Here is a 13,203-nt window from a genome sequence, read left to right as displayed (position 1 = left end):
CAGCATGGCGAAACACCTTCTCTATTAAAAATAGAAAAATTGGGCGGGCGCGGTGGCTCATGCCTGTAATCTCAGCGCTTTGGGAGGCCAAGGCAGGCAAATCACGAGGTCAGGAGTTTGAGACAGCTTAGCCAACATGGTGAAACCCCATCTTTACTAAGAATACAAAAATTAGCTGGGCGTGGTGGCACGCACCTGTAATCCCAGCTACTCAGGAGGCTGAGGCAGGAGAATCGCTTGAACCCGGGAGGCGGAGGTTGCGGTGAGTCGAGATCCGGCTACTGCACTCTAGCCTGGGCAGCAGAGCTAGACTCCATCTCAAAAAAAAAAAAAAAAAAAAAAAAAGTTAGCAGGGCGTGGTGGCGCGCACCTATAGTCCCAGCTTCACAGAGGGCTGAGGCAGGAGAATCACTTGAACCTGGGAAGCGGCTGTTGCAGTGAGCCGAGATCGGGCCACTGCACTCCAGCCTGGGCAACAGAACAAGACTCTGTCTCAGAAAAAAAGAAAAAGAAAAAGAAAAAAAAAATTCCCAGCACTTTGGGAGGCCAAGGGGGGCAGATCATGAGGTCAGGAGATGGAGACCATCCTGGCTAACACAGCGAAACCCCGTCTCTACTAAAAATGCAAACAAAATTAGCCAGGCATGGTGGCAGGCGCCTGTGGTCCCAGCTACTCAGGAGGCTGAGGCAGGAGAATGGCTTGAACCCGCAAGGCAGAGGTTGCGGTGAGCCAAGATCATGCCACTGCACTCGAGCCTAGTGACAGAGCGAGACTCCATCTCAAAAAAAAAAAAAAAAAAAATAGACAAGGCTCAGGCACATTTATTCAAGAATTACTTATAAAACTGGGCGTGGTGGCTCATGCCTGCAATCCCAGCACTCTGGGAGGCGGAGGCGAGCAGATCACCTAACGTCAAGAGTTTGAGACCACCCTGGCCAACGTGGTGAAATCCCGTCTCTACTAAAAATACAAAAATTAGCCGAGTGTGGCAGGGGACACCTATAATTCCAGCTACTCGGGAGGCTGAGGCTAGATAATCGCTTGAACCTGGGAGGCAGACGTTGCAGTGAGCCAAGATCGCACCACTGCACTCCAGCCTGGGTGGTAGAGTGAGACTCCTCAAAAAAAAAAAAAAAAAAAAAAAAACTTAAAAAAAACTTATAAAGACCTGTTTCAGCTGGCATTTATTGCATACTTGTTTACCAGGATAAATGTTGGGGGCTATAGAGCCAAAAAAAACCAGACATAGTTCCTGCCCCCACAGGGCTTACAATTCTGTTCTAGGCAGAGGAAAAGGCCTGTGCAAAGACCCAGAGGCAGGAAAACACAGCATGTTCAAAAAACAGAAGAGACAGGCCAGGTGCAGTGGCTCACGCTGTAATCCCAGCACTTTGGGAGGTCAAGGCAGGTGGATCACAAGATCAGGAGATCGAGACCAGCCTGGCTAACACGGTGAAACCCCATCTCTACCAAAAATACAAAAAATTAGCCAGGCGTGGTGGCATGCACCTGTAGTCCCAGCTACTTGGGAGGCTGAGGCAGGAGAATCGCTTGAACCCGGGAGGTGGAGGTTGCAGTGAGCCAAGATTGCACCATTGCACTCCAGCCTGGGCGACAGAACGAGACTCCGTCTCAAAAAAAAAAAAAAAAACAACTGAACAGAAGAGACAGCCAGGTGCGGTGGCTCATGCCTATAATCCCAGCACTTTGGGAGGCCGAGGCGAATGGATCACCTGAGGTCGGGAGTTTGAGACCAGCCTGGCCAACATGGTGAAACCCCGTCTCTACTAAAAATAAAAAAATTGGCCAGGTGTGGTGGTGCACATCTGTAATCCCAGCTACTCGGGAGGCTGAGGCAGGAGAATCGCTTGAATCTGGGAGGCGGAGGTTGCAGTGAGCCAAGATCCCACCGTTGCACTCCAGCCTGGGCAACAAGAGCGAAACTCCATCTCAAAGCAACAACAAAAACAATAACAAAAGAAGAGAGGTCATCTTGGCCAGAGTGTCATGGTTAAAGGGGAGGCTGGATGGAGGGAGAGGTGGGCTGGACCACCGAGAAGGACCTGTAGGCGGTAGTGAGGAGCTTGGATTTTATTTAAAGAAGGTGATTAAGCTGGCATGGTGGCACACCCCTGTAGTCCCAGGTGCTCAGGAGGCTGAGGCAGGAGGTGGAGGTTGCAGTAAACTGAGATTGCACCACTGCACTCCAACCTGGGCAACAGAATGAGACCCTGTCTCAATAAATAAATAAATAAATAAAATAAAATGAAGGTGGGAGGCAACCAAAGTTAAGAAGAGGAGTGATGTGTTCAAATGAAGCAGAGCACAAGTTCAGTAAATGTGTCCCGGGACTGTTAGTATACGGATGGTGGATGAATGGGAGAGGGCTGGGGGTCCCCTCGGTGGCCTGGAGACCAGAGCTTTCCAGGTCTCCTGGCTCTAGGTCCATGGGGTATGCCCAGCCCCCATGCCTTCCATCAGGGTTCCTATACCCTAGTGAGTCCACAGGGGCCTGCTAAAGACAGTTTCTAAAGGCTGGCCAGGCATGGTGGCTCATGCCTGTAATCTCAGCACTTTGGGGGGCCAAGGTGGGCAGATCACTGGAGGTCAGAAGTTCGAGATTAGCCTGGCCAACATGAAGAAAACCTGTCTCTACTAAAAATACAAAAATTAGCCAAGTGTCGTGGCACATACCTGTAGTACCAGCTACTAGGGAGGCTGAGGCGGAGGTTGCAGTGACCCGAGATCGCACCACTGCACTCCAGCCTGGGCGACACAGCGAGACTCTGTCTCAATAAATAAATAAATAAATAAATAAATAAAGGGAGGGGGCTTAGTCCTGGGGGCAGATGAGCCTAGAAGGCGAGGGGCTCAAGGGAAGGTGTTAGAGGGACCCTAGAGTGCACATCACCTCCATTCTAGACGCTGCCAGAGACAAAACTTTGAGAAGGCAGCTTGGGAGTCTTCCCGAGTTCCAAGAGTCCAGCTCCCAGAACTGACCATGTTGGGCCCAGCGCCCTCTGCTGGTCACTCTGGGAGCTGCTCCTCCCCTTCCCCAACCAAGGTAATTCCAAACGTGAGAGACCCCCAAAAGGATCACCTTGGCCAGGCACCGTGGTTCATGCCTGTACTCCCAGAACTTTGGGAGACCAAGGCGGGTGGATCATCTGACGTCAGGAGCTCGAGACCAGCCTGGCCAACATGGCGAAACCCCGTCTCTAGTAAAAAGACAAAAATTAGCTGGGCGTGGTGGGGGGGGCACTTGTAATCTCAGCTACTTGGGAGGCTGAGGCAGGAGAATCGCTTGAACCCGCGAGGCGGAGGTTGCAGTGAGCCGAAGTCGCACCACTGCACTGCAGCCTGGGCCACAGAGTGAGACTCCCTTTCCAAAAAAAAAAAAAAAAAAAAAGGACCACCCCTTACCTCGGTCACTGAGCAGGATGTTCTACAGAACAGCCCTATGGACAGAGGACAGGGGAAGACACTCCTTCTTTAAGAACCTGGAGGAGAGCATGCCTTGTCTTTTTTTTTTTTTTTTTTTAAGCTTTGTAGAGACAGGGTCTTGTTATGTTGCCCAGGTTAGTCTTGAACTCCTGAGCTCAAGGGATCCTCCTGCCTTGGTCTCCCAAAGAGCTGGGATTATAGGCGTGAACCACTGCGCCAGGCGGAAGGTCATGAGTCTTGCCAGACCTTTTTCAGGGTGGCTGGGAGGGCGGTGGCTGCACTGGAGTGAGTGGCCTGTGTCTATGCATGGCTCTACTACAGCCACTCTGGCCAAGCGGCACCATTTCTGGGCCTCAGTTTCCCCCATCTCCTCAGTTTCACAGGGTCTTCCAAGGGAAGGCATTTGGGAAAGGCGATCCTCTGTTCTTCCCTGCCCTCTTCCGCCCCCGCCTCTGTGGGAACATCAGGCTCCAGAAGTTGAGTGATGCTGTGATAAGGAACATCTGTGGGGGAAGCCCAGCCCCGGACTGAGGGCCATGGGGTGGAGGCCGGCCCTGAGTAGCTCACGGTGAATATAGCCTGCAGGACAACTGCGGAGCCTCCTTTCAAGGTCCTGAACCTGGGAAGAGACGGACTGTCCCTTAAGGCAGGCCACTCGGGGTCCCAGAGCCGAGGAATAAGGGTCTTCTCCTGGAACCGCGGGGGGTCCAAGGGTGGAAGGGACTCCGGACACGGCATTCAGGCCACTTGTCGTGACAGGCCCGACATGCTGAGAGCTCTGGGATAGGCTGAGACCTGCCAGCAGGAGGGATGGCAGCTCACGCTCACTTGATCAGCTCCAGGGAGCCCCCAGATTCTGCCCAGATGCAAAGACCTGAGCCATGGCCTCAGCATCCCCCCACCAGCCAGGCTCTAGGTATCACACAGGACCCACCTCCGGCCTGCCAGCCCAGAGGGGATACTGTGGAAGAGCTAGGCCTCACGCAGGACCCTAAGGTGAAAATAGGAAGAGGAGCTGGACAAAGCGTCACAGACCCAGACCCCCAGCCCTTCAGGAGGCCCGGGAGCCCCTTGAACCCAGGGAGGAGGTCTAGTACAGGAGGAGCGGGGAGAGGCGAGAGTGGGCAGAGCTAACCACAAGGAGCGGGGCCAGGCGACAGCAAGGGAACCGGGCGCCGAGGGGGCAGAGCCAGCGAGCCGATGGGCGAGGTCAGTGAGCCGAGGGCCCTGGCCAGGAGCGGAGAGCAAGGCCCACCCAGCTCACCTGTGGGAGCGGAGGCTCTGCGGAGCTATGGGAATCACCGAACGCTGAGGGTGTCTCGGCAGCAGCTCAGGCTCGGAGGACGTCGCGGGAAGACCCGCAGCTCTGGTGGACCGTCCAGCAAGCGCTTCTAAAACCGTGGACAGACACGCCAGGCCAGAACCAACACTGAGGGCTGGGCACGGTGGCTCGCCCCTGTAATCCTAGCACTTTGGGAAGCTGAGGTGGGAGGATTGCTTGAGATCAGTAGTTCAAGACCAGCCTGGGCAAAATGGTGAGACCTTGTCTCTATATAAAAAAAAAAAAAAAAAAAAATCAAAAAATTAGCAGGATGTGGTGGCGCACACCTGCAGTCCCAACTAAGGAGGCTGAGGTGGGAGGAGTGCTTGAACCTGGGAGGTCGAGGCTGCAGTGAGCTGTGATTGCACCACTACATTCCAGCCTGGGTGACAGAGCAAGATCCTGTCTCAAAAAAACAAACTGACGTTGAGCTGGGACTGCCATAGGAGTGGATGGCCACTAATGGCAGGTTTCCTGGCCTGCCGCAGAACCCATAGCATGATCGGGGTAGATGAATGCCCTTGGCTAGATTTCACCGGGACAGGACAGGACAGGTGGCCTAGAGATGGAAACTTCCTGGGGCAGGTCAGATCTCTTCATACCATTGCCGTCTCCTCCTCCCTACCAGGGCAGACACACTAGAGGAGTGGGGCTGAGGGAGGCGTCCAACCTGGCAAAGGGGCTGAGGTGGTGAGATCTGGGAGTGCAGGTGTCACATCAGCCCTAGGGGTAGGCACTAGTGCCTTCACATCCTGGAGGCCAGGGCCTCTGTCTTCTCTGAGACACAATTGGCTCCTGCACATGGGCATGGGTATTTGGCCCCCAGATGTGGGGACAGCCTATGTGGGGACAGCCTCATGGTATCCTTGAGCCTTTCTTGGCACCGCTGGCTTCCCAATAAACTCCTTAGCCTGACGTTCAAGGTCCCCACTACCAAACCTTCCAAATACAGCTTCTTCATCAGCCTCTCTTGCTCTCCCACCATGCCCCAGCCACACTGGGCTTCAGTTCCTAGAACACACCCACCTTGCCCATGACAGGGCCTTTGTAATTGCTCTTCCCTCTGCTGAAATGCTCTTCTCTCAAGGGCAAGTCTTATTCCCACTCACCTGTTCCATCTGAGAGAGCTCTACCGGAGCAATACACCCGGCCTCTCACCCACAGACCAAAGCTATGCTTTACAAACTAGTTTATCAGGAATTGTGGCAAATTGTATTTTCAAAGAAGATAGCCTATCAATATCTCCAATTCGACATGCTCATTGTACAATTATGACCTTGACACTTGAGTGTGGGATCTATGTCCCCCTTCCTTCAGCCTGGATGTACCTTTGTGACAGCATTAAACAGCAGAATATGGTGAAAGTTGCTATGTGACTTCTAGATCATAAAAATGCCATGTGGGCCCGGGTGGGGTGGCTCACGCCTGTAATCCCAGCACTTTGGGAGGCTGAGGTGGGTGGATTGTGAGGTCAGGAGTTCAAGACCAGCCTGGCCAAAATGGTGAAACCCCATCTCTGCTAAAAATACAAAAAAATAGGCTCAACGCCGTGGCTCATGCCTGTAATCCCAGCACTTTGGGAGGCCGAGGCAGGTGGATAACCTGAGATCAGGAGTTCGAGACCAGGCTGACCAACATGATGAAACCCTGTCTCTGCTAAAAATACAAAAATTAGCCGGGCGTGGTGGTGGGCGCCTGTAACCCCAACTACTCAGGAACCTGAGGCAGGAGAATCGCTTGAACCCGGGAGGCGGAGGTTGCAGTGAGCTGAGATCGCACCACTGCACTGCAGCCTGGGTAACAAGCGAGACTCTGTCTCAAAAAAAAAAAAAAAAAAAAAAAAAAATTACCCAGGCATGGTGACAGGCGCCTGTAATCCCAGCTACTCGGGAGGCTGAGGCAGAGAATTACTTGAACCCGGGAGGCAGAGGTTGCAGTGAGCTGAGATTGTGCCACTGCACTCCAGCCTGGGCAACAGAACACAACTCCATCTCAAAAAAAGAAGAAGAAAAAAGCCACGTGGTCTGTTAGGACATTCTCCCTGGGAACCCAGCCATCATGCTATGAGGGAGCCAAGCCAGCCCAGGTGGAGAGACCATATGGAGAAGTCATGTGTAGATGTGCTGGCTCAAGGCCCTGCTGAGGTGCCAGCCTACAGCCAGCATCCATTTCCAGACATGTACAACTCCAGATGATTCCAGCCCCAGCCATCAAGGACCTCATAGCCATTGAGTCTTTCCAGCTGAGGCCCCAGACTTCATGGGGCAGAGACAAGTCATCCCTGCTGTGCCCTCTCTGACCTCCTGGCCCACAGAAACCATGAGCATCAGTTATTTTGCACACTAAACACCAGGTGGTTTGTAGGTGGTTTGTCATGCAGGAACAGTGAATGGAACAGTAAGGAAGTGTTATTTTGATTTCAATATACCTGATTCCTCATCTGCTCTCTGTTGTGTCAGAACTTGGGCAAAGAAGAAGTTGTTATGTATTGACATCCAAACCCTAACCACTGTCCTTCAAATTGCAGCTTAAATGTCATCTCAGAGAGCCCTTCCCTAAGACCCCTATGCAGTTTAGATTTCTTTTCTTTTTTTTTTTTTAAACAGGGTCTCATATGGTCACCCAGACTGGAGTGCTATGGTGGGATCTTGACTCACTGCAGCCTCAGCCTCCTGGATTCAAGCAATCTTCCTGCCTCAGGCCCTCCAAGTAGCTGGGACTACAGGTGTGTGCCACCATCCCTGGCAAAAATTTTTGTATTTCTTGTAGAGATGAAGTTTTGCCATGTTGCCCAGGCTGGTCTTGAACTCCTGAACTCAAGCTACCTGCCTGCCTCGGCCTCCCAAAGTGCTAGGCCTCCAGGCGTGAGTCACTGCACCTGGCTAGATTTATTTTCCTCATAGTATTTTTCATTATCCAAAATTATGCACAGGCTTGCCTGGCCTGCATCTTCTGCACACCAAGCCTGTTCACTCAGTCCCTCCACCTCTACATGGGGATGAAGTAGGATCTGGCTGTTACACTGATACTCACTACTTAATTTTTATTGGTGCAATTGCTTTGTTTTTGTTTTGTTTTGTTTTTTTGAGACAGAGTTTCACTGTTTTGCCCAGGCTGGAGTAAAGTGGTGTGATCTCGGTTCACTGCAACCTCTGCCTCCTGGGTTCAAGTGATTCTCCTGCCTCAGCCTCCCAAGTATTTGGGATTACAGGCACATGCCACCACATCTGCCTAATTTTTTTTTTTTTTTCTTTTTTGTATTTTTAGTAGAGACAGTGTTTCTCCATGTTGGCCAGGCTGGTCTTGAACTTCTGACCTCAGGTGATCCACCCGCCTCAGCCTCCAAAAGTGCTAGGATTACAGGCATGAGCCACCGCACTCGGCCTATTGGTGCAATTGTAAATCATACTTTTGAAAAATTTCAAGCCAAGCGTGGTAGTGCGTGCCTGTAACTACTCAGGAGGCTGAGGTGGGAGGATTGCTTGAACCCAGGAGTTTGAGCCCAGCCTGGATAATATAGCAAGACCCTGTCTCTAAAAAATAAAAAAAAAAATCAATTTCCAATTGTTCATTGATATTATATAGAAATGCGGCTGGACACAGTGGATCACTCCTATAATTCCAGCACTTTGGGAGGCTGAGGTAGGCAGTTCACTTGAGGTCAGGAGTTCGAGACCAGCCTGGCCAACATGGCAAAACCCCATCTTTACTAAAGATACAAAAATTAACTGGGCGTGGTGGTGCATGACTATAGTCCCAGCTACTTGTGAGGCTGAGACTTGAGAATCACTTGAACCTGGGAGGCAGAGGTTGCAGTGAGCCAAGATGGCGCCACTGCACTTTAGCCTGGACGACAAAGAAGACTCCATCTCAAAAAGAAAAAAAGAAATGCAATTGATTTTTGTATATTGACCTTATATTTTACAACCCTGCTAAATTCATTTATTAGTTGTATTAGTTTGCTAGGACTGCTGTAAGAAAGTACTAGAGACTGGCTGACAGAAATGTATTATCTCACAATTCTGGAGGCTGGAAGTACAAAATCAAGGAGTTGGTAGGATTGGTTCCTTTTATATATATATATTTTTTTTATTATTATACTTGTAGTTTTAGGGTACATGTGCACAACGTGCAGGTTTGTTACATATGCATACATGTGCCATGTTGGTGTGCTGCACCCAATTAACTCGTCATTTACATTAGGTATATCTCCTAATGCTATCCCTCCCCCCTCCCCCAACCCCACAACAGGCCCTGGTGTGTGATGTTCCCCTTCTTGTGTCCAAGTGTTCTCATTGTTCAGTTCCCACCTATGAGTGAGAACATGCAGTGCTTGGTTTTTTGTCCTTGTGATAGTTTGCTCAGAATGATGGTTTCCAGCTTCATCCATGTCCCTACAAAGGACATGAACTCATCATTTTTTATGGCTGCATAGTATTCCATGGTGTATATGTACCACATTTTCTTAATCCAGTGTATCATTGTTGGACATTTGGGTTGGTTCCAAGTCTTTGCTATCGTGAGTAGTGCCACAATAAACATACGTGTGCATGTGTCTTTATAGCAGCATGATTTATAGTCCTTTGGGTATATACCCAGTAATGGGATGGCTGGGTCAAATGGTATTTCTAGTTCTAGATCCCTGGATTGGTTCCTTTTAAGGGCTGTGAGGGAGGATGTGTTCCTGGCCTCTCTCCTTGGACTATGGATGGCTGTCCTCTCTTGTCTCTTTACGCCATCTTCCCTCTATGTCTACTTCTGTGTCCAGATTTCCCCTTTTTTGAAGGAGACCACTAATATGCATATTGATCTTTTCAAAGAACAAGCTTTTGTTTCATTTATTTTCTCTCTATTGTTTTTCTATATCCAATAGCATTGACTTCTGGTGTTTATTATGTTTTCTGTCTACTTGCTTTGGGTTTAATTGGCTGTTATTTTTCTAGTTTCTGAAAGTGGAAGTTTGTACTATTGATTTAAGACTCTTCTATTCTCATATACCCATTTAATACCAGAAAATTTGAGGCTGGGCACGGTGGCTCACGCCTGTAATCCCAACACTTTGCGGGGCCGAGAAAGGCGGATCACAAGGTCAGGAGTTCGAGGCCAGTCTGGCCAACATAGTGAAACCCCATTTCTACTAAAAATACGAAAAATTAGCCAGGTACAGGCCGGGCGTGGTGGCTCACGCCTGTAATCCCAGCACTTTGGGAGGCCGAGGTGGGTGGATCATGAGGTCAGGAGATCGAGACCATCCTGGCTAACACGGTGAAACCCCGTCTCTACTAAAAAATATTTAAAAAATTTAGCCAGGCACAGTGGCGGGAGCCTGTAGTCCCAGCTACTCGGGAGGCTGAGGCAGGAGAATGGCGGGAACCCGGGAGGCGGAGCTTGCAGTGAGCCGAAATCGTGCCACTGCACTCCAGCCTCCAGCCTGAGAGACAGAGCGACACTCCATCTCAAAAAAAAAAAAAAAAAAAAAAAGGAATTAGCCGGGTGTGGTGGCAGTTGCCTGTAATCCCAGCTACTCAGGAGGCTGAGGCAGGAGAATAGTGTGAACCTGGGAGGTGGAGGTTGCAGTGAGCGGAGATTGTGCCATTGCACTCCAGCCCGGGTGATAGTGTGAGACTCGGTCTCAAAAAAAAAAAGTAGAAAGTTCTCTCTGCTCTATTTTATGAAGTTTAATATGTTGTAATTTTATTTCATTAAGTCAGTTTAAAATATTTTCTGGCCAGGCACAGTGGCTCACGCCTGTAATCCTGGCACTTTGGGAGGCCAAGACAGGCGAATCACCTGAGGTCAGGAGTTCGAGATCAGCCTGGCCAACATGGTAAAACCCCGTCTCTACTAAAAATACAAAAATTAGCTGGGTGCAGTGGCAAGCGCCTGTAATCCCTGCTACTCAGGAGGCTGAGGCAGGAGAAGCTCTTGAAACCAGGGGCGGAGGTTGTAGTGAGCCAAGATCACACCACTTCATTCCACCCTGGGTGAAAGAGCGAGACTACGTCACACATGCACACAGACAAAACTACACATGTATATATTTTCTAATTTCTCTTGAGACTTCTTCTCTGGCCCATGATTTATTTAGAAGCGTGTTGCTTCATTTCCAAATATTTAGGGGTTTTCCAGATATTTTTCAGTTCTTTTTTTTTTTTTAATTTGAGATAGGGTCTCCCTCTATCACCCAGGCTGGAGTGAAGTGGTGCTATCATGGCTCACTGCAACCTCCACCTCCCTGGTTCAAGTGATTCTTGAGCCTCAGCCGCCCCAGTGGCTGGGGTTACAGGCACCCTGCACCACGCCCAGCTAACTTTTGCATTTTAGTAGAGACAAAACATTATTTTCAAGTACACTTGGAACATTCACCAAGATAGACCATATTCTGGGCCTTTATATTTAAAAAATGTTTAAAAATGTAGGTGATACATTCTCTGATCATAATGGAATTACACTAGAAATCAAGAAATCAGCCACGTGTGGTGGCTCACGCCTGTAATCCCAGCACTTTGGGAGGCCGAGGCAGGTGGATCACCTGAGATCAGGAGTTCGAGACCAGCCTGGCCAACATGGTGAAACCCTGTCTCTAATAAAAATACAAACATTATCTGGGCGCGGTGGCTGGTGCCTGTAATCCCAGCTACTGGGGAGGCTGAGGCAGGAGCATCGCTTGAACCCAGGAGGCAGAGATTGCAGTGAGCTGAGATCTTGCCACTGCTCTCCAGCCTGGGTAACAGAACGAGACTCCATCTCAAAAACAAAAACAAACAAACAAACAAAAGTTTAAAAATACAAAAATTAGCCAGGCGTGGTGGCACAGGCAGGAGAATCACTTGCACCTGGGAGGTGGAGGTCGCAGTGAACCAAGATCGCACCACTGCACTCCAGCCTGGGCAACAGAGGGAGACTTGGTCTCAAAAGCAAACAAACAAACAAAAAACAATTTGATTAAATTGGTTGATAGTGTTGTTCAGCTCTTTTATGTCCTTGCTGATTTTTCTTTCTTTTTTTCTTTTTTTTTTTTTGAGATGGAGTTTTGCTCTTTTTGCCCAGGCTGGAGTGCAATGGCACAATCTCGGCTCACCGCAACCTCCACCTCCCGGGTTCAAGTCATTCTCCTGCCTCAGACTCCCGAGTAGCTGGGATCTGGGATTACAGGCATGCACCACCATTCCCGGCTAATTTTTTGTATTTTTAGTAGAGACAGCGTCTCACCAGGTTGGCCAGCCTGGTCTCAAACTACTGACTTCAGGTGATCTGCCCACTGCAGCCTTCCAAAGTGCTGGGATTACAGACATGAGCCACCGTGCCCAGTCCTTGCTGATTTTCTGTTTTATCATTTACTGAAAGAAGAGAGTTGATATCCGCAAGTATAATGGTGACTTTATTTCCCTTTTTAGATCATTTTTGCATTATATATTTAGGAACTTTATAAGCGCGTACACATTCAGAATTGTCATGTCTTCTTGATGAATTAACCCTTTAATCATCATATAATGTCCTTTTTTCTCTGATAATTTTTTTCTTGTTCTAAATCTACTTGTTATCAATATAATCATTTCAACTTTTAAAAAATTTTTATTTTATTAAAAAAAATATTTTGGCCTGGCATGGCAGCTCACCCCTGTAATCCCAGCACTTTAGGAGGCCGAGGCGTGCAGATCACGAGGTCAGGAGATCGAGACCATCCTGGCTAACATGGTGAAACCCCGTCTCTACTAAAATACAAAAAAAATTAGCTAGGTGTGGTGGTGGGCGCCTGTAGTCCCAGCTACTCGGGAGGCTGAGGCAGGAGAATGGCGTGAACCCGGGAGTGGAGCTTGCAGTTAGCCAAGATTGCCCCACTGCACTCCAGTCTAGGCGACAGAGCAAGACTCTGTCTCAAAAAAAAAAAAAAATTTTGCAGAGACAGGGTCTCCTGTATTACCCAGGTTGGTCTTGAACTCCTGGGTTCAAAGGATCCTCCCACCTCAGCCTCACAGAGTGCAGGGATTACAGGCGTAAACCACCATGCCTGGCCTTGTATGTCAATTCTAATGGCTGGGTGTGTGTGTGTGTGTGTGTGTGTGTGTGTGTGTGTGTGTGTGTGCTGGCATCTATTGATTGTTTTTTTCTTTGAGATTTGGTGAGATTTTCCTTGTTGAGTAACTTTGTGTTGTATCCTGGGCATTTAAAATATTGTCTGGTGGCCGGGCGCGGTGGCTCACTTCTGTAATCCCAGCACTTCGGAAGGCCGAGGGCAGATCACCTGGGGTTGGGAGTTTGAGACCAGCCTGACCAACATGGAGAAACCCCGTCTCTACTAAAAATACAAAATTAGCCGGGCGTGGTGGTGCATGCCTGTAATTCCAGCTACTCAGGAGGCTGAGGCAGGAGAATCGCTTGAACCTGGGAGGCCGAGGTTGTGGTGAGCCAAGATTGCGCCATTGCACTCCAGACT

General features: G+C 49.4%; 3 annotated features.

Annotated features, from left to right (window-relative positions):
- Positions 2,745–3,245: an enhancer, noted in NCBI's record as "H3K4me1 hESC enhancer chr20:30222007-30222507 (GRCh37/hg19 assembly coordinates)". NCBI's record gives its function as "activates a minimal SCP1, AML or CMV promoter by ChIP-STARR-seq in naive H9 embryonic stem cells {active_cell/tissue: H9 hESC(naive)}" and the evidence as "EXISTENCE:reporter gene assay evidence [ECO:0000049][PMID:30033119]".
- Positions 3,246–3,746: an enhancer, noted in NCBI's record as "H3K4me1 hESC enhancer chr20:30221506-30222006 (GRCh37/hg19 assembly coordinates)". NCBI's record gives its function as "activates a minimal SCP1, AML or CMV promoter by ChIP-STARR-seq in naive H9 embryonic stem cells {active_cell/tissue: H9 hESC(naive)}" and the evidence as "EXISTENCE:reporter gene assay evidence [ECO:0000049][PMID:30033119]".
- Positions 7,054–7,254: a silencer, noted in NCBI's record as "peak4184 fragment used in MPRA reporter construct". NCBI's record gives its function as "represses an SCP1 promoter by STARR-seq MPRAs in K562 erythroleukemia cells {active_cell/tissue: K562}" and the evidence as "EXISTENCE:reporter gene assay evidence [ECO:0000049][PMID:32103011]".

This window comes from Homo sapiens, chromosome 20, assembly GCF_000001405.40.
Source record: "Homo sapiens chromosome 20, GRCh38.p14 Primary Assembly".
Lineage (NCBI taxonomy): Eukaryota > Metazoa > Chordata > Mammalia > Primates > Hominidae > Homo > Homo sapiens.
This window is presented reverse-complemented; position numbering and strand designations above follow the sequence as displayed.